Raw genomic sequence first — 22,612 nt, 5'->3', positions numbered from 1 at the left:
GGGTGGGGCAAATGTGAGAAATATGTAGACACTGACTCACCAAGCTTGGTGATTTGGATAGGATGCAATAAGAGATAACCCCTAGGATTCTGGTACAGGCAACTGGGAGGATGATGCAGTGACACCAGATACGGTAGTAAACACAGAGAAGGAGAATAAATTAGTAAGGGAAAAGGAGATGATGCTGAGTCCAGTTTGAGGCATGTTGAAGCTGGATTGACAGGAATAGGTCCTTCTAGTATTTGGCACTGGACCACCATCCGATAGTCTTCCCCAGTCCTAGGGACTCCTAGAAAGAAACTAGGCTAGTCTTGATCTTGATAATCTCTTGTAATATTTGGGATAGGGGAGCAGAGAATGGAAGCCTGGAATTTATAGACGTGTTCCACTTATACCATTTAAAAATTTTATCTTGAAAAGGAAAATTGAACAAGGAAGACACCTGATATACTAGATGAGGATTAATTTAGGTTGAGAAATATAATCCATATAGAAACTATCTTCATTTGAATTTTATGTATTTCATCCTTTTACTTATTCTTTCTTTTACTTACAAATACTGTCTGAATACATACTATGCTAAGTGCTAAGGATATAAAAGCAAATGAGATATGGAGAACATCCTTAAGAGACTCACATTTGCATATTAAATTATTTTGACTTTTGTAGCTAGCAGTGCAAAATTCGGGTTCAATTTTAAACAATCAGTTTTTTCAGTTGAGGCTAAAGATGGTTTAGTGTTAAACAAAAGAGTACAGGATTTATGGCTAGGCTTATCTGAGCTATTCTAGATGCATCACCCTAGATAAATTAGTTAGACTAGCCAAGTTTGAAGAAGGAAAATTAATTCAGAGCAATTTTCCTGTTGAAGATAACCAGAAACTTTTTTTTTTTTAAAAAAAATGAGAACCAACAAGAGAGAGAATATAATTACTGAACCAATTTGGAGGCTTAAAAAGGTAAATTGGAAGATAAGGCTGCTCTATCCTGGGAGCATTTGGCAATTCATGAGGGGTTGGAGAAAGGGTAAGAGGCTAAATTAAGGGAATGGATTATATTCTAGGGCCTGCCAAGATGAGGAGAGTTGCTGGTAAATCTCCCCATTTCAAGTTGAGATACTGAAGAAGAATGAACTTGAACTACATAAGGCTTCCTAGACACTTCAGTTTACAATAATCTCAACTGCCTGGCAAAAGCAAATGTAAGTCCTTTCTCAATGAAGAATACATTTCTATAAGCAATTCTGCACGTACAATTATTAGCACATAATTTAAATATAGCCACATGAGGGCAGGTACGGTGGCTCATGCCTGTAATCCCAGCACTTTGGGAGGCCAAGGTGGGTGAATCACTTGAGGTTAGGAGTTTGAGACCAGCCTGGGCAACATAGCAACACCCCATCTCCACCAAAAATACAAAAATTAGCCATTCTCAACCCCATCTCAAAAAAAGTAAATACATAAAAATTAAAAAAATAAAAAAATAGCCACATGAAACAGGAAAATATGACTAATAAAATAGCAGAAACAAGGACAGTAGAAATAGATCCACATGAAGTCTTACAGATCCACATAGAGTCTGATTATTTAAATAACCAAAAACATTTTATAATATAAACATGTTGTGTCAGTCAGATTTCCAACCAGACACAGATGGAACCATCAAACTATGATAATATGAGGGATAATATTATTCCTTAATAAAGGAATAATTTTCAAAAGTATGGGTTGTGATGGGGAGAGATGGGGTCCAATACTCTGGGGCTATGAACAATGAGGAGGCTTTACCACCTGTAGGCTTGAAGAGTTACAGGGAGGGAGGAACTATCAGAATCTAGAGACAGAGAGTCTATGGTCAGGGAATGTGGCCAGCCCACAGTGACCCCACAGGAAGAGATCAGGTAAATCAGTACCGAATCTCACTCTCCTCCTTCCCTGTGGTCCTACTGGTACTTTACTTTAGCCAAACACAGCTAGAAGCCAGAGGACAAGAAAGTTAATTGATACAGTCCATGCAGATCAGGTTCCTGGAGAGGCAGCAGAGTGGAGAGAGTGAAGATATATCCATAGAGGTGAACAGAAGTATATAACATGTGCTGTTATTTTTTCAAGAAAATAAATGATTAAGGACTTAGCAAACTAGAAACTATATAAAAGAAACAAAAAGAAGTTCTAGAATTAAAAAATATAGTAGTCAAAATTAAGAACTCAATGAATAACTTTAGCAATTGTTGAGACCCAACTGAAGAGAAAATTTGTGAAGTGGAAGATAGGTCAGAAGACAATCATAGAATAAAGCATGAAGAGGAAAAGGATGGAAAGTCTACAAGAGATGGTAAGAGGTGTAGAAGATATAGTGGGAAGATCTAGTATATGTGTAGTTAGAGTATCAGCAGGCAAATAAAAGGAGGAAATAATGGAAGCAATATCTGAAGAAGTAGTGGCTGAGAAATTTTCAAACTCAAATACAACTAGAGAAAAAGGGACAGATTACTCTCAAAAGAGCAACAGTAAGACTTAGAGCTGACTTCTCAACAGTGGAAGCCAAGAGGCAGTGAAATTACATCTTTAAAAGGCTGAAATAAAATAGCTGCCCATCTAAAATGTTATGATAAGAATTTAAAAATCTATCAAGAATGAAGATTTTTTTAAGTTATTTGATTTCATTTTGTTTTCAGACAGGGTGTCTCTCTGTTGCCCAGGCTGGAAGGCAGTGGCACAATCTCGGCTCACTGCAACCTCTGACTCCTGGGTCACCTCAGCCTCCCAAGTGTCTGAGACTATAGGTGCACACCAACACACCTGGCTAATTTTTGTATTTTTGTATTGGATGGGGTCACACTATATTGCTCAGGCTGGTCTCAAACTCCTGGGCTCAAGCAATCCTCCTGCCTCAGCCTCCCAAAGTGTAGGATTACAGGCGTAAGCCACAGGACCCAGCCAAGAATTTGTAAGAAAAACTGCATTAAAACAAAAACCAAGGAAATTGTCACCAGCAGACTCATAACTGAAGAAAACATTAAAAAGTTCTTCAGACAAAACAAAAAAGTATTTCAGTTAGCAAGTTGGAGATCAAGGGAAGAATGAAAAGCAAGTCAAGAATAAATATGTGGTTGAGTCTAAATAAATATCAACCATACAAAACGGTAGTACAAAGTATGGGGAGTTTAAAATGTACAGAGAATCAAAATTCACAATAACAATGATTGGGAGAGGAAATCAATGAATTAACATCTAAAAGAATTAGTAAAAACTAGTAATTAGTAAAATTAGTAAAAACAGGTAACTTCCAAGTTAATAAATGGGAAAAGTGAAATAATCAAAATTCATCTGTATATAAACATACATATATGTGTGTATATGTATGTGTACATATACACACATGTATATGCATATACATGTGTAATCAGTATTCATCTGTATATATCAAACTTCATCTGTATATAAACATACATATATGTGTGTGTAATATATGTGTGTGCATGTATATGTATATATGTATACATATATGTATATATACACATATATGTATATACATATACAGTGATAGATTAATTTGCTTAACTATAAGTAATCATTTCACTATGTATATGTATATCAAAACAGCATGGTATAAACCTTAAACATGTACCATAAAAAGGCACTGTTGGGGATAAGAAAGACCTACTTCATTATGATAAAGTTGAATTCACCAGGAAAATATAATTCTAATTTTCTACATACTGCTAACATAGCCTCAAAATATACAAAAGAAAACAGAAAAACAAATTCACTATCACAAATGGTAGACTTTTAACATACTTCTCACAGCAAATGGTATAACTAGCAGACAAACATTATTAATCATATAGATTTGAACAACACAATCAAATACACTTGACCTAAAGAATACTTACAAGACATGCACACTATAATTGCAGGGTACAATTTTTTTCCAAGCACACAAGGAAAATTCACAGAAATTTACTATATGGTAGGTCATAATGTAAGTCTCAATAAATTGCAAAATATTGAAGTAATTCCAAGTATTTCTCCGGGGAAAAAGTGACAAAGAGATAACTAAAAAATCCTCATATGCTTGAAACTTCAAAGAAATCATGATGGAAATTAGAATAAAAAAATGTGAAAACATCATTTTCCCCAAAACTGATCTACAGATTCAATGCAATCTCCCTGCCACAACCAAAAAAAAGAAAGAAAGAAAATAACAGTTTTTCTTTTGTGGAAATTGACAAGCTGATTCTAAAGTTTTTATGGAAATGCAAAGGGATAAACACAACCAAGACATTCTGGAATAAAAACAAACTGGCAGTGGTGGCTCACGCCTGTAATCTCAGCACTTTGGGAGGCCAAGGCGGGCAGATCACGAGGTCAGGAGATCGAGACCATCCTGGCTAACACGGTGAAACCCCGTCTCTACTAAAAATACAAAAAATTAGCTGGGCATGGTGGTGGGCGCCTGTAGTCCCAGCTACTTGGGAGGATGAGGCAGGAGAATGGCGTGAACCTGGGAGGCAGAGCTTGCAGTGAGTCGAGATAGAGCCACTGCACTCCAGCCTGGGCAATAGAGTGAGACTCCATCTCAAAAAAAAAAAAAAAAAAAAAAAAAACAAAACCTGGGAGGACTTGCTCTACTGGATATTAAACCAATTAGTCTGGGAGTGGTGGCTCACTGCAACCTCTGTAATCCCAGAACTTTGAGAGGCTAAGGCAGGAGGATCACCTGAGGTCAGAAGTTTGAGACCAGCCTGACCAACATGGTGAAACCCCGTCTCTACTGAAAATACAAAAATTAGTCGGGCGTAGTGGCACATGCCTGTAATCTCGGCTACTTGGAAGGCTGAGGCATGAGAATTGCTTGAGCCCAGGAGGCGGAGGTTGCAGTGAGCTGAGATCACGCCATTGCACTCCAGCCTGGGTGACAGAATGAGATTCCATCTCAAAAAAAAGACGAATTATAATGATTAAACTATAGTGTTTAGGATTAATGCATAGGTGGTAAAACTACAATGAAAAGCAAACAAGTGATTTCCACAAAAGTCAGGGTAGTTTTTTCCTTTGAAGGGAAAGGAGGAGGTAATAATTGAAAGGCATCAAAAGGGCCACTTCTGGGATTCCGGCAATGTCTAGTTCTTGATTTTACCTGGGTGTTTGCTTTGTGATAAATCACTGAGCTGGACATTTTTTGTTTTGTGTACTCTTTGGTAGATAAGTTATATAGTTCACAATAAAAAAAGTTTTATACACACACACACATTTAACGCCATATATATGTTAAACACCTAGCTTCGTGCCTGGCACATAATAAATACTCAAGAACATAAAATCACTTCTCTTCTTTCTTTCTAGCATTCCACCTTTCCTTCTTTCTTTCTAGCAAAGAAAAAAGAAAAAAAGAAACATGTGAATTTTCATAAACATTTTCCTAGTACACGCACAATCTTTCTCGCTTTCTTGCAACAATCTCACTGTCATGGAAACTGCAATTAAAAGTGGAGCCTGTGGAGAGAAGGAGAGATAGGAGCACAACAGCCTGAACTCGATTACCTCTTTGCAAGAGGAAATTCTCACTGATAACTGAATTCTGGAACTCAAAACCTAAAGTACCCATTAACACATAATATGCTTGTTGGCTTTATATTTTTAATTTTCCCTTCCAAAGCAACAAAGCAAAACCTTTGTTTAAAAGCTTCCCTTTGCTACAGGTTGCAGTTAATCCTATAATCACTGGGTGAATGTTTATCGAGCCAGACATTCTTTGTGGGTCAGAGAAGCAAGAGGCCAGCAGTGAAGGTATTGTCTTGCAGGCGACTGCGATGCAGAAAGAATGTGGTTAGGTGAGGTTGGGTGACAGGCACAGCGGGCTGTGGGCTGCAGGGATCCCTGGGACAGGCATGCTCCAGCCTGTGTCCACTAGGCAGGATGTCTGCGCCTGCCCTCATGCCTCAGCTCCTTCCCACAGCCACTTGACATGTTGGGAGCTGGGGTAAAGCCTAATGATACTTGGGGAGAAGACTTCAATTCTATCAGCTGAGAAATCAAAGACATTTGAAAATCAAGGAAGTGCCAAAGACTACTTTAAAATGATCTCTGCCCAGGTTTCCCCCATTCCCTGAAACATACAACCAATTCACCTGAAAATTACCAACTTGGAAAGAGATGAAATAATAGATTTCTGTGCCTAAAAATGATCAACAAGTCCAAAAGGCCAAAAATTGAAAGCACAAAGGACATTGGGGGCTTATTTTCAGCTGATATTGAAATTTTTCCTTGTGACCTCAAAGGAAATTCCACCTTTAGCAGAGATTTGCTCTGGAAGGGGGATTAGACTAGAATTCCTTATGGACTGGGAAGGAGGTAGAAGACAGGGGAAGGGATTCAGGAGAGGACATCTGCACCCCATGTTTTTAGACCTGTGGAATTAGGCAAGAGACATTCTGCTGGTTTGGTAGAAGTGGGACTCTCTGAAGACTAGATTACGTATTAATTAATTCAGCATATAGTTATTGAAGACCTACAGTATGCCTGTGCTGTGCCAGCTGCAGGAGTTGGACCGGAAAACCAGAGAGGCTGTGTCCCTCACCACATGGAGTCTATAAACAGAAGGGCAACAGGGCATATTGGTAGACTCCAACTGGGCCAGAGAATTTACTGGCCAAGATAACCTCCAGTTCCTCCATTTCTGTTGCAGAAGTCTGGTGAAGGGAAGCAAGGTGTGGAAAAACATGAGAAGAAAGCTCTTGTAGAAGGCCTGTCTCCACAAGGACCTCACCTGTACATAGGAAAGATGGACAAGGTAGGAAGTCCTAGCCAGAGCAATCAGGCAAGAGAAAAAAAGGCCGAGGCAGGGCGTGGGGTAGCATCTGAATTGGGAAAAAGGAAGTCAAACTATCTCTGTTTGCCAATGATATGGTCTTATACCTAGAAAACTCTGAAGACTCTTTCAAAAGACTCCTCAATTTGATAGATGAATTCAGCAAAGTCTCAGGTTACAAAATCAAAGTATGCAAATCAGTGGCACTCATATACACCATTAAAGACCACGTTGAGAATAAAATTAAGAACTCAATCCCACTTACAATAGTTACCAAAAAAAACAAAAACACCTTAGGAACATACTTAACCAAGGAGGTGAAAGACCTCTACAAGGATAACTACCAAATACTGATGAAAGAAATCATAAATGGCCAGGCATGGTGGCTCATGCCTGTAATCCCAGCACTTTGGGAGGCCAAGGCAGTCGAATCACTTGAAGTCAGGAGTTCAAGACCAGCCTGGCCAACATGGCAAAACTCTGTCTCTACTAATAATACAAAAATTAGCCAGGTGTGGTGGTGCATGCCTATAATCCCAGCTACTTGGGAGGCTGAGGCACAAGAATCGCTTGAACCCTAGAGGCAGAGCTTGCAGTCAGCCGAGATCGCATCACTGCATTCTAGCCTGGGTGACAGAGTGAAACTATGTCCAAAAAAAAAAAAAAAAGAAAGTAAAAGAAAGGAAAGAAAAGAAAGGAAGGAAGGAAATCATAAATGACACAAACAAATGGAAAAACATCTCATGCCCATGAATTGAAACAATCAATATTATGAAAATGACCATACTGCCCAAAGCAATCTACAAATTTAATGTAATTCCTATCAAACTACCAATATCATTTTTCACATAATTAGAAAAAGCAATCCTAAAATGTATATGGAATCAAAAAAGAGCTGGAATTGCCAAAGCAATCCTAGATAAAAAGAACCAATCTGAAGGCATCACATAACCCAACTTCAAATTATATTACAAAGATATAGTAACCAAAACAGCATGGTACTGCGATAAAAGTAGACACATAGACCAGTGGAATGGAATAGAGAACCTAGAAATAAAGCCAAATACTTACAACCAACTGATATTTGACAAAGATCAACAAGGCAGACAAAAACACACACTGTTCAATAAATGGTGCTGGGAAAACTGGATTACCATATACAGAAGAAGGAAACTGGATCCCTATCTCTAACCATATATAAAAATTAACTCAAGCTGAATTAAAAGACTTAAATTAAATTTAAGACCTGAAACCATAAAAATTCTAGAAGGATATCTAGGAAAACCTCTCTGGACGTTGGCCTATGCAAAGAATTTATGACTAAGACCCCAAAAGCAAATGCAACAAAATAAACACAAAAATAAATAAATGGAACATAATTAAACTAAAAAGCTTTTGCACACCAAAATAAATAATCAACAGAGTAAATAGATAACCTATAGGATGGGAGAGAATATTGGCAAACTCTACATCTGACAAAGGACTAATATCCAGAATCCACAAGGAACTCAAACAAATCAGCAAAGGAAAAAAAAATCCCATTGAAAAGTGGGCAAATGACATGAACAAACATTTTTCAAAAGAAGATATACAAATGGCCAAATAACATGAAAAAATGCTTGATATTCCTAATCATCAGGGAAATGCAAATTAAACCATGATGAAATACCACCTTATCCCAATCAGAATAACTATTACTAAAAAGTCACAAAAGCAATAGATGTCAGTACGGATGTGGTGAAAAGGGAACGCTTATACACCATTGATGGCAATGTAAATTACTACAACCTCTATAGGAAACAGTACAGAGATTTCTCAAAGAACTAAAAGTAGATCTGCCATTCAATCCGGCAATCCCGCTGCTGGGTATCTACCTAAAGGAAGAGAAGTCATTATACCAAAAAGACACCTGCACATGTATGTTTATAACAGCACAATTCACACTTGCAAAGATATGGAATCAACCTAAGTATATACCAACTGGTGAGTGGATGAAGAAAATGTGTGTGTGTGTTTGTGTGTGTGTGTGTGTGTGTGTGACCTTTGGAAGCTTCATTCCTTACTGATTTCTTCATTAGCAAAGCAGCAAAAACCCTCATCACAGCGATTCCAATCCCATTACCATCATCATGTTCATTGCCAAAGTTATGAGCATTACATGACGAGCATTACTAACGTGTCCTCTATAATCCTTCTATGTGACACCAACTTCAATACTTACGAAATGCTTTTAACCAAATTAGAGCAAGGAGAACTTTAACATTTAGAGGGATAGATGTGTGGCCATCTCCTTTCACAAGGCAAAGTCATCACTCCTACATAGGTTCTCACAGATGGTCCACAGGCACGTTGGGTAGGACCCTAGTCAGTGTGAAAAGCTGAGCAAAGCAGAGCTTTTCTAAGCCCTCAAGTCTGGCAGGACTGCAGTACACAGGTATGCCTGATCATAGACTGCCACATGGTGGGATTTTACTCTTCCAATGTGTAAGTCTTTTCACCATTGAATTGTAGAATCATTGAAGACAGGACTTGCCACTCTTCCTTTTTATTTCTCCCTGGATACCTAGAACTAATTCTGGGTGTTCATTAAATTCTTGTCGATAGAACAATTCAACAGATATCCACGAAATGTTTATTGAATGGCTCCTGTGTGACAGGCACTGTGCTAAATAAACAGATGTTGTTTTAAAGGTCCAAGGAACTCCCCAGGTAGGTGTTTTCTATGACAACACTGTTATCAACTGCTTTCCAAAACACAGCCCATCAGATCTGGGTTTATCCCTAGAATAGCTGCATCCTTGAAGTGACGGGAGGGTGGCATTCTCTGCCTTCACAAATGCCAGCTCCAGCCCAGTGTCTACTGTGGGTTGGGCCAGTCCTTGTCCGAGTGAATCATGGTCTGCTGCTGAGCTCAACAGGCTAGAAGCAAGTTACTGCCACAAGTTGTATGGACCAGTAGGGCACCAAAGTCACTCAGAGACAAAGCTTAAGGCTGTTACTGGTTTACTGTGCATTGAATTGCTTTCTGAAATTCTGGTAGTGAGATTGAGGAGAAAGTGCAGTGGGAGGGATAGGGTGTTAGAAAAACAGGTAGGGAGAATCAAGCAAGGGGAGCATTTCAGAGTGACATCAAAACTGTGTCAAGTGTCTTCTTCAATGGTTGTAAAGGTCAGAGCAGCACTTACAAACTTTGTCCCCTTGATAAGGGGAATGAAACAGAAAACTTGAATGTGGTTATTTTATCATGCCTGTTCTTAGAAAACAATCCTAGAAATGCCTCCTGTTGGCCAGCCTGGTTCTTGACCCGCTTTCAGAGTTTCAACCTGTAGATACCTGAGCACACCCAAGCAGGTTCTATGCAGACAGAGCCATCTTCTGCATGTACTTTCTAGGAAACCAGGTATTCAGGGACAAGGTACAGCATCCTCTGAACCTGCACCAACATCCTGAAAGCTGATGCCAGGTCAGGATCTTGCTATGGTGACCACAGATTTCCTGGAAAGCTGTTGTCTTGCCTGCAGAATGCTGGCATAGTTGTTCTTCAGATAGCTCCTCTCTGGTCTCCTACTCCTCTCTTTATCCATGTCCCAGGGCAAAATGGCCATGCAGCTGAAGGCTGTAGGGACATTCAGTCTTTCCTATGACCATTTTCTGCCCACACTGATGACCTCCTTCTAGATCTCTGCAAGAATTCAGACCTTCCCTGAACCAGAAGTAATTGTGGCATTGGCAGAAAGCTGAATCTCTATACTCCAAATGCAATGGGAAAAAGGTCTTGTGGTACAGCAGCCACGGCTCCCTGAATCAGATTGGCTTTGGAGAGAGCCAGGGCCAAGAGCCTTCTGGGACAGGGTGTGAGGAGTACCTCTCCTAGTCCCAATGGGATGCCATGGTCAGGAATACCTTCCCTCCATAAAGTATGGAGAGATTAGAAAATTCACCCTTGACCTCTCTGCTGCCTCAGAGGGTGACCATCTTCCTTATCCTCTGCCACAATCCACCTGCAGCAAAGGGGGCCACACTTCCTCCCTACCTTTCTCTGGGGCTATTTAGCCTGGAAACAAGACTATCAGTGAAATAACACAGCAAATTAAATTCCAGAGCCGGGAACCACAAAATCTCAGAGTTGGAGAGCCTGTCAAGTCTGTCCATTGCTATCTCTCACAGATGCGAGCCGGCACTGCACCACCAGGCTGAAGGACCATCTTTTTTCCTTTCTAATTAAAGAATCGTGTTTCCTTTTCTCTGGGCTATAGACTCTCCGTGGCCTTAGGCATTCCTCATAAGATATGACACCAGGTACATGGCCAGCCATGGTCTGGGGCATACAAAGATGAATGAGACAGAAAAACCAGGTAGGCAAATAAGTACAATGCCCCAGGGGCTCTATGGAGCCACATGCCAAGTGCTGTGGGAAGTTCAGGGAAAGGTGCAGTATGCGGCAGCAGGAAGGATTCTGAATGCCTGATGTCTGAGCTGGGTGCCTGGAAGGATGAATGGGATATAGCAGATGAGCCAACAGGAAGAGGAACTAGCACTGATTCATTTATTTATGTCTTCCTTCATTCCTTCCTTCATTAATTCAACCAGTCTTTACTGAGTACATGTTTTGTGGCAAGATCTGTCCAAACAGAAAAAAAAAAAAAAAAAGAGAGAGACAGAAGTATTATTGTCCCTGCCTTCAAGTAGCTTGCAGCCTAGTTGTGATATAGGTAAGAAAAAAGGCCAGAATACATGGTGAGGTAAGGCAACAAAAGGTAAGGGAAAAATCAGGTGCTTTGAGAGCCCACAGAAGGTACTAACTCCACAGATGAAAGCATGGTGTGAGAACAAGTGTAGTAACCTGGGGAACAGGGTGGCCAGAGCATAGAACCCAACAGGAGAGTAGAGGGAAATGAGGCTGAAAAAGATAGAACATGAAGAGTCTTCCTTAGGCAGTGAAGAAAAAAGCACTGAAGACTTTAAACAAGTGAGTGATATGATCCTATTTATGTCCAAGGAAGAAAACTGGGAGCAGTGTGGGGAACTGGTAGGAGAGGCAAGAGGTGGAAGCAGGAGGACCAGAAGGTTGCAGCAGTTTTCACAGGTCCCGATTTTTCTCCTGTGTATGCACCCCAGTATGTCAGTTTCCCTTTTTAAGCATGATGCCAGAATGGAATAAAATATTCTAGGTGTGGACTGACCAGCACAGAGGTGCCGTAAGATAGTTAGTTATTATAGATGACACTCCTGTGTTTTTGTTGCTGGGGAAGGCTATATATTTTGGTAACATATCACAGTTCTGCTTCATATGGAGCTTATTATCAACATAAATTCCTGGGCCACATTCTCATTTACTGTGGCCAAACACTGGTTCCCTCATCTGACATTTAGATATTCAGTTATTGGTACCAAAATGCAGGAATTCCCAATCATTCTTGTTAAGTGTCATTTTGTTAGCTCTGACTATTCATCTAATCCACCAGAATTATTTGGGATCCTGCATGTTTTGACAATGTATCTCTATCTTGCCTAGCTTTGCAGCATCTGCAAATTGGAGTATCATTCCCAAGATGCTCTTATTTGATCCAATTTTTGTCCAGGCCTTGGAGAGAGAGGATGGAATAGGCCATTTATAAATCCAGTAAAGCTGCTTCATAAGACACCATATTGTCGTCATGTTCAAAGATGTCAGAAGAATCTTTTTTTTTTTTTCAAATACCATTTTGAAATCTGGACAAACTATGGCATTGTTTGGGACAATTTCTAAATAAAAGAATGAGCTTCATCTGGCAAAACCTGTTCTTGGTGACCCAATCTCGAATCCTGGTCGTCACCACTTTCTAGGTACTCATTCCTCCTCCTCTTCTCAATGTCTTAACATTGGAATACCTGGGAGCTCCGTCTTTGGACTTCCTCTTTTTTTTTTTTTTTTTTTGAGACAGAGTTTCACTCTGTCACCAGGCTGGAGTGCAGTGGCATGATTTTGGCTCACTGCAACCTCCACCTCCTGAGTTCAAGTGATTCTCCTGCCTCAGCCTCCCAGGTAGTTGGGACTACAGGCATGCGCCACCACCCCCAGCTAATTTTTGTATTTTTAGTAGAGACAGGGTTTCACCATGTTGGCCAGGATGGTCTCAATCTCTTGACCTCGTGATCCGCCCGCCTCGGCCTCCCAAAGTGCTGAGATTACAGGCGTGAGCCACCGTGCCCGGCCTGGACTTCCTCTTTTTGTAAGTTACTTTAGTCCCTTGTAGCATTCTCATGGATGTACCTCTCCAACCTTGGCCTCTTCCTTGATCTCCAGACACATGAATCCAACCACCTGCCAGATTTCTCTTCTTGAATATCAAATAGAAATCTCAACTACAACACATCCAAAAACAAGCTCCTCATTTCTTCCTGTCACCTAAACCTGTGTCTGCACTCCTGTAGCCATCCCATTTCAGTTAATGTCCATACCATCACTCCAGCTGATCAGGCCAAAATCCTTGGAATTAGCCTTGACTCCTCTCTTTTTCTCATATCCTCATTCAATCTATTAGCAAAATTCAATTGCTTCTATCCAGAATCTGACTGCTTGTTAGACCATGTCTCTGCATGCCCATAGCTACCAGCCTGGTTCCAACCATCATCACTGCACAGTTTATTAAAACAGGCCTGTTTGCTTCCACCGTAGCCTCCCTTCAGTCTATTTGCAACACAGAGGGAATGTGTTAAAATGTAAATCAGAGCATGCCACTCTTCTGGTCAATGGCTGCCATCTCTCTCTGGGTAACATTGCTGGTCCTTACAAGGGCTTTCAAATCCCTGCCTGATCTGGCCTCCTGCTATCTCTCTGACCCCATCTTCCACCCTTCTCCCTGCTAGTTTCTCCACATGAGGCACACTGGCCGCCTTGCTGTGCTGGGAACACACTGGGTATACTTCCCTCTTGGGCTCTTTGCACTTGTGGTTCCTTCTCCAGAGAGTCCCTCATCTTCAGATTTTACTAAAAGGTCTTCTTGTCACAAAGACTTTACCTGACTTCTCTCTTTAAAATGGTCACCCTCTCACTCTAACATTATGCATCCTCCCGGCCTGCATCGTTTTTCTCTGTACCACCTATTAGCAATAAACATGTTATATATTTACTTATTTTTAAAAAGTATATGTCTCCCTTTACTAGACCTACTACATGAGGAAGGCATGAATTTCTGTTTATTTTGCTCAGTGCTTGATTCTCAGGGCCCAGCATAGAGCCCGACACACAGTAGGTACATAACAATATGTTAAATAATCATAGAGTCAGAAATTTTGCCTGGCATTGATGGCATTGAGAAAAATTCACTTCTTGTATTTGAAAATTGGAATGCATTTGTTCATCTCTGTTTTCTAGACTTTCTTGTGGTTGCCATGATGTTTTACAGATCACTCACAGAAGATCAGCCATGTCATGGTAGCTGCAGCAACAAGAACTAAGTTATTGAACAATGAATAGGTGTCAGGCCTGGTGCTTAGACAGCATCCTATTTAAATCCTTAAACAACCCTGTGAAGTAGGTAATATTATTTTATCCACTTACCAGATAGAAAAACTAAGGCACAGATTGATTAGGTAATTTTCCCAAGGTCACACAGCTAGCAAGTGTCTGAGCCAAGACTCAAACTCAGGTAGTCTAGCTCCAGGGCTTATGCTCTTAAATTCCTGCATCTACACTACTCTCTTCTTAAAAATTATTTTAGAACTCTGGAATGTAATTCATTTGGGCTAGAATATTTCAGTTAATTTAAGGAATAAGTTTTGGTCTTGTACACTCCTCATTCTTTGGAGATTTCAATGCCTTCTATTCAAAACTCCTGCTCTTTTTGGTCTTAAAATCATTCACTTTGACGAAAATGTTGGGAGGAAAATAAAAATGGGTAGGAATGTTTCTTCTGTCGCTCAGGAACATCCCACCATCCATCCACAGGGACAGACCTAAGACTCCTTTGTTCTTCTGACTCAAACAAAGCTTTAAAAAGGCTCCTGTGTTAACATTTTTCTGATATCTTGGTTCAACATTCTTAACATGACTCTTCAGCTCTACGTCAGTCTTTTCTATTTTTATGTTGTTTTTGGTCAGTGGCCACTCTTTCCACCTTTCGTACATGTTTTCTTTAAGACTGAGCTCATCTGAGTTTCCTTTGTAGCCACTTGGTCCATTTATTTGCTTCTGTTTATTAAGATGGCCTTTTCAGATTTCTTGCACTCTTCTTTCATTTCAGGAGCAGCTGAGATCACGCTGCTAAAACCTCCTCCTTGAATGCCCTTCAGTGGGCACTCCTATTTGGTTGATTCTACCACAGTCACGTTCCCTGTCCAATGTGGAGGTGGTGTTGGGAGGGGCTTTCCAGCAAGGGTGACATTTCCCAGTCCCATTTATGATGGGGGAGGCTGGTGGTGGAGTTCTGGCCAGTGGGATGTAGGTGGGAGTGATATGTACTGCTCCCAGGACTAACCCAAAAAGCCTTCCAACTCTCCACACCCTCTCTGCCTCATCTGCTGGCTGGATGTCTACACTCCAGCTGATTTTGGAAGCTGCATGTTGCATATGGCAGTGCCTCCATCAGCCTGGGTACCTGAGTAATTCCTTTCCAGATTGTATTTTGCAGAAGTAAGAAGTAAATTTCTATGGGTGAAGCCACCAGGATTTGAGAATTTGCATAGTACAATAGCTAGGATACCTTAACTAATATAAATTCTGTGTCAATTTTTCCATAAGCCTATTCAAATCTCCTCTCTAGAGAAGTCTACTGAGAGCAGGCTTCTCTTCCCACCACTGCTAGCTGTGTGGGAAAGTGGGTGCGTGCCCCCAAGAGCCTCATGGTCTTCCCTTCACAAGTGATCCTTCCCCATCACACGAAGTCCACCTCATAATGTCCCTCGTTGGACTTTCTGCTTCTGGGAGAGAACACTGTCCATGAAGCAAACAAAAAAAAATGAAAGGTAGAGGCAGCTCGCTAAGCAGCTGGGTGGAGTAAGGGACTACCTGGACCCTATCAAGAAGGAGAGGAGAACAAGCAGCGAGAGTGTTGAGGGAGGGGTCTGTGTTTGGTTCTTCCTGTGAGGGAGCCTGGAACACACGCCAAGCTGTGCCAGAGACTTCATTCCACCCTTGGGCCAGGCCAAGAACCAGGCACTTGTCCCTTCTGCATCTGAGGCAGCAAGAAGCTGCTGGCAGCCCAGTCACTGAGTGCTTGATCTGTGCTTTGTGCCGCCTTTGTGCTGTGATGACAGTCCCAGCGTTCCCAGGACAGTTGGTGAATAAGAGCAGAGTCCAGAGGGAGGAGAAAGTGGAACCAGGCTGGCTGGACCCTCAGCCATAGAAGCTGCTTCCTAGAAGGCCCAGTTCAGGTGCATAAGAACCTCACAGTGGAGCTTTCTGGGACAGTGGGTGTGGCCAGGGGCCCTGGAGATGTGGCAACTAGTTTGTCCTATTTGGAAGTAATATTAAACAACAATAAACACTTACTTATAAAGCATGTACTAAGTGCCAATCCCTGTTCTGAGTGCTTCACACAAATTAACTCAGTGAATCCATAAACAAACTCTGTGAGGTGGATGGCATTCTAATCCCATTTTACGGGTGAGGAAATTGAGGTCTATGGAGGTGAAATATCTTGTCTGGGATGCCATAAGTAGCCTGAGGTGGAGTTCTGGCCCCTGAGTCCATGCGTTAGGACCCCAAAGAGCAGGGCTGATTAACACTCACCAACAGAAGGCAGGAAAAGGCTTGCTTCAAGCCTGACACACAGTGAATGCTAATTGCACCTTGCCTCTCCTCTTCCAGCCGGTTGCCATGCTGGGATTCTGTAGGGCAACTAGCACCGTTCCAGGTTTCAAAGAAGGAGGTGGCCTTTGTGTGGTGTCAAAACACTGAATTAGAAATCAAAAGACCTGTGTCTCCGTTACCTTTGTGGTCTTGGGCAAGTCACTTAAGCAATCTGACTTCTAATTTCTGCATCTATAAAAGGAACATATGCCCCTTATAGGTAATAGGGAAAGCCTATTACCACTGTCAGCCCTTGGTAGCACTTAAATGAGTTGGTTGAGTATGGATCTGACCCAGGATTCAATTCTAGGTGGATGAGATATTGTGGGACAGGTAGGGGCCTCTCAAGTGGGAGGGACTGTAGTGCATTAGTGTTTATTTTGAGCATTGATGCCCACAGAACTCATTGCACTTGGGCCATCACCTGCTCCAGTCCTCAAGAACAAAAATCTTACCGTCCCTGAGCAGCCTAGAGCAAGGTCATACAGATGACGTGCGGGACAAAGCCTCACTTGGGCAGAGGTGGCTCTTGCCCGCTCAACTGTGAGATGCAGGACAAGCCCTGAATCCCACAGGGTTTACCTCGAATGCATGCCCTGGGTTAGTGAGTAGTCATCGCTGCATGAGGAGTCCCTGCCCACAGCTGCTTCCACCGTCTGATCATTCCCCAGAGACCACATTCAAACCCCAAAATTGGAGCTGACAAGTTCTTATTTTTCTTTATTTTGTAATTGCTGTTACTTCTGGGGCTTGCAATGAGAGGAAGGATTGGATAATAGGCTTCTGGCCTGGAGAGATGAGATGGGAATCTAGTTAGTCTTTTGGCCTCCACATGAGGTTTTCATGGATTTCATATTCACACCTCATTTGGGGTCTGAGACTGTGGGTGATTTTGTCCCCATTCCTGCCCACATCTGTCCAATGGGCTGTTACAGTTCTTGGGGTCCCCACTCTCTGGACATGGTCATGCTCAGCAGGCCCCTACTCCCTGACTCCTTGAGCCAAGAAGGCCATTCATGTGGTTTCTCTGTGCTGCAGGGCACTGTGTATGTACAGGGAGCACAGGCCTTAAAGGAGGGGCTGTGTCTTTGTTGAGGGTGAATGTGTGATGGATGCATGAGGTTTCAGTCATGTCAGCCAGTGCCCATTTAAGCAAACACCCAGGACTAGATGGAGCAGGAAACCATGAGCCTCTGTGGCTGACTTGGGAGATACCTTCTTTCTTTACAAGTCTGTTCTGGAGTCAGTGGTGCTCCTGCCACTTCAGCTGGGCTCAGGACACCGAGTGCAAGATGCAGTTTCAGGATCTGGAATCCACAGCGCTAGTGGGCTGCTCAGGGGAGGCTGGGAGAGGTGTTTCTCTCGCAGATGCCCTGGATGGCATGGGTTCTGCTAGGTGGCTTGGTGAAGGAAAGGGCAGGATCCGTCTCACACATTCCAGGCACTGTGGGGGTCAAATATGAAGAGCAAGCTTACTTTTTCCCTCTGATATTTCTCTTGCCTTCTATAAAACAGAATGTATATTCCCTTCCTGCCACTCATCAGAGCATCTTACAAATATTGACTCTGTGTGCTAAAGGCCTACCAGGGCTGCAAGGGCCCAGGGAAGCTCAGCCGAGCTCTAGGGCAGATGTTAAGGAAAGGGAGGAAGAGGACCTCTCTCAGGGCTCCTGTCACAGAGATGCTAGGGAAGCGGCCATCAAGAACTGCCAGAACAGCTTCCTTACAGCCAACGATGCTAGCCATGGCACCCAGACCCAGGTTATGGAGCCCACTGGCTCTGCGGATTCCAGATCCTGAAACCGCATCTTGTATTCGGTGTCCTGAGCCCAGGTGAAGCAGCAGGAGCACCACCGACTCCGGAACAGACTTGTAAACACACTTCATCTAATGGATGGGCCCAGCTCTGTGCTAGAATTCAAAGCTTAAATGAGACTCGGGCTTGCTATTGAGGAGGCACAAGTCAAGGGGAGGAAACAGGCCCCCAAGCAGAGATAAAGATATACACGGTGCTTCACCCAACCCACAGGCAGGAGCACCCTGTGCTTCTCTGCAAGGTCAGCAACTCAGGGGATGCGACCTCTGCCACAGCTCCACAGGGTCACTTCCCTTACTTTCGGAGGAGCACCCATTGGGCACTCAAATCAACACCCTGGGTTTAGCAGCCACTCTGTGATCCCAGCAGCACGGGGTGCTGCTGGAAACCTAAACATTTATTCTTTCACTCAAAACGCTGAGCGCCTACCAGGCGGCACACATTGCACTGAATGTCAGAGCCAGAGATCCTAAGGCTCTGAGGTGGGGAGGACAGAGCTGGAGGCAGATTACACACCTTAAAATGTGGGTGCAGAGGTGGGCAGGGAACACCACTGGGATGTGCCCATGAGGATGAGCCAAGACGGAAGAGCTGCGACTTGTTTACCAAAAGGCATTGACGACTCGATGCTCCGTCTTCCGTGGGAATTCACCCAGCTTTGTTCAGATGTTACTACCTCTGCCCTTCCCAGTTCCTACCCCATGAAAGGGCATCTGAAGGTGCTGACATCAGAAATGGCAAGTCAGGACACACGCAAGTTCCACAGGGCTTCCTGCTGCCCCGCCCAGCCTCTTTGCAGCCGCCTCCTGCAGCCCCAGGCACAGGCCTGACTTTGGTACAGTTGAAGTAATGCCCCAGTTTTGCCCTGGGCTGGGACTGCCACCTGGGGCAATAAGGGTGGTTGTTTTCCCCTGTGGTTGCCCTCCTGGTTACCTTAGTGACTCATGGAGGCAGTGGGCCAGCCTGGGACAGAGGAGCAGGGGTCTGGTCCAGGGCCAGCCTGGGGCTCTGATCCGCGGCTGCCCCAGATGTCCAGATCTGACCAGGAGCTATGAGGGAGGAGCCTGCTCCCATATAGCCATAACTTTTCTGTTCTGAGCTCATCAGTGTGGCCTGATAAAGTCTACAGAGAGGCCCTCAAGGAGGAAGAAAGAAAAGGCAGGGAAATATACTTTTTTTAGCTAGAGCTCCATCAGCGAGTACAGAAAGAGAACATTCTCCTAGGAGAAAGCAAGGCATACTCTGTCCTCAAGGTGCCATTTTCCCCAAGCAATAGAGGCAAGGCCAGATGAGCTGTGGAGGGGTGGAAGATGAGCTTGTGGCTCCCCACCCTGTCCCTTGCATGCACACCCACCCTCAGGGGCTGCAGCTGGGGTGGCTGAGAGGGGAATCCCTGGTTCAGGCTTTCCTTGTCTTACACAAACTGAGAAGGAAGCCTTGAGAATGCTGGTAGTGCATGCAGGGTGGAGCTGAGAGGGCGGAGAATGAGGTTTTTCACCCACCCTGTGGGCCCTCCTGTTTCCTCCACCCTCCCTGTAATCTCAAAACATCCTGACTTCACTGAGCAAAGGCCCCAAGCTTTTCATGGAAGAGCAGCAGCTTGCAATAGCCCCAGAGTCTGAAGATAACATCTCCCTTGCGGTGGCAAGAAAAGGCAAGGGTGCTCAGGAGAGTGCAAAAGTCCTCAGGCCCCAACCAGAAGTTCTGCCTCTGAGGTCCTCAAAGACACGGGCTCCATCTCCTGCTGTTCCCGCTTTGATTTTAGGGTGTTGCTTTGCTGTACTGGTGCCAGTAGCGGCCACACTGCAACTCTGCTTCAGGCACAAGGATTGGGGTGGGACCCTGTGTCCGCTCTGAGAGCACTTCTGCCTCCAGCCCTCTCTTGGTCCTTGTCCTTCATGTCCTTTTTTGGTGTGAACTGGGTTCAGGAGAGAAGCCCAGGCCCTGACATCTGTGGTCAATGCACACACTCCAGGAAGTTGTCTTAGGGATCAACCAGGGGCACCCACAAAATGGACTGGGGATCATGACTGGCCTTTCCAACCCACAGACCACCTTCATTCCACTCAAAATAGCGCAGCTCTGACTCTACTTAAGAAGGACGCTCTGATAACATGCTGGTGACTTTCACCTAGAAATGGAATCCATCCTTCAGGGCCCGGCCCCCTTCCTGCCTCCATGATGAAACCTTCCTGTCCCTTCCTGTCAACCCTGAGGCGCCACCACCTTCTCCTTCCCGTCATGTACTCACAATAGTTAACATCCACGGCTCTCTTCCCCTGCACTAGGGGCTGGGATGGGGATGGAACGGGGTGCCCTCTATCCCTGAGTTCCTTCCCATGCAGAGATGTAGAAACAGTCATCATGCATGGTTCCATGAGAGATTCCAAGAAAATGCACAGCAGCTGCAGGAGTCCCCAGGTAGCATCTGAAAAATGATTTCCTGAAACACATAGGGTTTGGATGGCGGGGTCAGGAGAGGAAGGACTTTCTGGCAGAGTGTAGATGGGAAACAGTGGATGGATGTGCAGGGAACCACCAGGAGCTGGCCCCGCCAGAGTGGGTCCCAACCAGGCCAGCCATCCAGTGGGCGCCATGGGCACCCGAGCTTTCCTCCCCCGGGCTTCACTCTCTTTGACCACTTTCTGCCCAGGGCCATCTGTGGGCAGTGACTTGGGGAGGCTGCAGGAAGAAGGGACAACAATTGAGTCACTTGTTGTTAAAACCAAAAGCCCGCCACCCCAGCCAAGATTTTCCACATGGGGGTAGCCCTGCCAACGTGTGCCCCCAGTCAACATCAAGATGTCCCCCACAGGCCTCAATGTCACGAAGGACTCCTGAAAATACTGCCTGTTTGAGAGGGGACAGAGACTAACTGTGAAATACTCCTCAGTTTCCCTGCTGCTTACCCAAGAGTTGGGTTGAAGCTCAGCCTGGGGCGCCACTGCTGGGGTGAGGTGGGCTGTGTCAGGCCAGCCACTCATGCCAAAGCTGAAGATAGGATGAGAAGGAGAGAGGGAGTGCCCACTGGGGGGCATAGGGCTGTGCCCAGGAGGGCACTGCTTGTCTTTGCAACCTAGCAGCCATCTCTGGCGGGATGCCTAAAATACCTCGGTCAGCCTCCCAGCTGAGGGAGAGCAGGAGGCGTGCGCTGGGGTCTGCATTAGGTTTTCACAATGGATAAAATCAGTTCTGTGATTGAAAGGCGAGGCCTTGGGAAATTAGTCACACAAGGGAGAATTGTGCCTGCCTCCATCAGAATCACCTGAGGATTCCCAGGAACCATCCAAGAGACTCTGATGCAGGGGTTCTAGGTTAAGGCCTGAGTCCCTTCTCTCCCTCCCTCCCTCTCTCCCACTCTTCCTTCCTTCCTTTCCCATGCAAAGCCCCTAGCAAAGCTTAGAATAAGAACATGTGGGGCTGGGTGTGGTGGCTCACGCCTATGATCCCAGCACTTTGGGAGGCAGAGGCAGGAGGATCACTTGAGGTCAGGAGTTCGAGACTAGCCTGGCCAACATGGTGAAACCCTGTCTCTACTAAAAACACAAAAATTAGCCGGATGTGGTGGCGGGCATCTGTAGTCCTAGCTACTCAGGAGGCTGAGGCACAAGAATCACTTGAACCCAGGAGGCGGAGGTTGCAGAGAGCCATGATCGCACCACTACACTCCAGCCTGGGCAACAAGAGCAAAACTCTGTCTCAAAAACAAACAAACAAAACCACGTTGGATCCACACATGGCTATAGATCCCTACTGTGTGCAAGGCAGCTGGCATCCTGGCCCTCTGAGACTGGCCTAGGGGAGGCCTCCTGGTGACTTCCTCCCAGAGCTAGAGAGGCGGTGTCCTTTGCCTCTGTCCTGCTGAAGGGAGTCCCTCATCCAAGGGGCAACGCTGCCACCTCCTGGTCAGTCTTAGAACTGTCCCCCACTCTGAATGCCTGGTGTAAATAGAGGCAGGGAGCCGGGAGAGGCCTCCCTGTCCTCCTTCTCTGGCTCTGCGTTTGAATATCTTATTCTAGGAAGTGGAATGTCCCCCAAACACGCGCCTCTTTTGGTGCCTCTTGTTTAAGTCTATCTTCCCTGGGAAGCCACTAGTCAACAAGTGGATCTCACTTACCCACCACTTTGCCTTGAATTCAGTGCAAGTCAGCATGTGTTTGTGGAGCACTTGATATGAGGGGGCTGGCAATACAGAGGACAATAAAGCAAAG

At 44.3% G+C, this 22,612-nt stretch overlaps 3 annotated features.

Annotated features, from left to right (window-relative positions):
* Positions 5,678-6,448: an enhancer, noted in NCBI's record as "OCT4-NANOG-H3K27ac hESC enhancer chr1:182070081-182070851 (GRCh37/hg19 assembly coordinates)". NCBI's record gives its function as "activates a minimal SCP1, AML or CMV promoter by ChIP-STARR-seq in naive and primed H9 embryonic stem cells {active_cell/tissue: H9 hESC(naive and primed)}" and the evidence as "EXISTENCE:reporter gene assay evidence [ECO:0000049][PMID:30033119]".
* Positions 5,686-5,980: a silencer, noted in NCBI's record as "tiled region #790; HepG2 Repressive non-DNase unmatched - State 8:EnhW, and K562 Repressive non-DNase unmatched - State 21:Repr". NCBI's record gives its function as "represses a minimal TATA promoter and a strong SV40 promoter by Sharpr-MPRA in HepG2 and K562 cells {active_cell/tissue: HepG2 | K562}" and the evidence as "EXISTENCE:reporter gene assay evidence [ECO:0000049][PMID:27701403]".
* Positions 22,022-22,071: an enhancer, noted in NCBI's record as "active region_2196". NCBI's record gives its function as "activates an Ori minimal core promoter by ATAC-STARR-seq in GM12878 lymphoblastoid cells {active_cell/tissue: GM12878}" and the evidence as "EXISTENCE:reporter gene assay evidence [ECO:0000049][PMID:35858748]".

Source organism: Homo sapiens, chromosome 1 (genome assembly GCF_000001405.40).
Source record: "Homo sapiens chromosome 1, GRCh38.p14 Primary Assembly".
NCBI lineage: Eukaryota > Metazoa > Chordata > Mammalia > Primates > Hominidae > Homo > Homo sapiens.
Note: the sequence above shows the minus strand (reverse complement) of the source record. Positions and strands in the feature narration are given on the sequence as shown.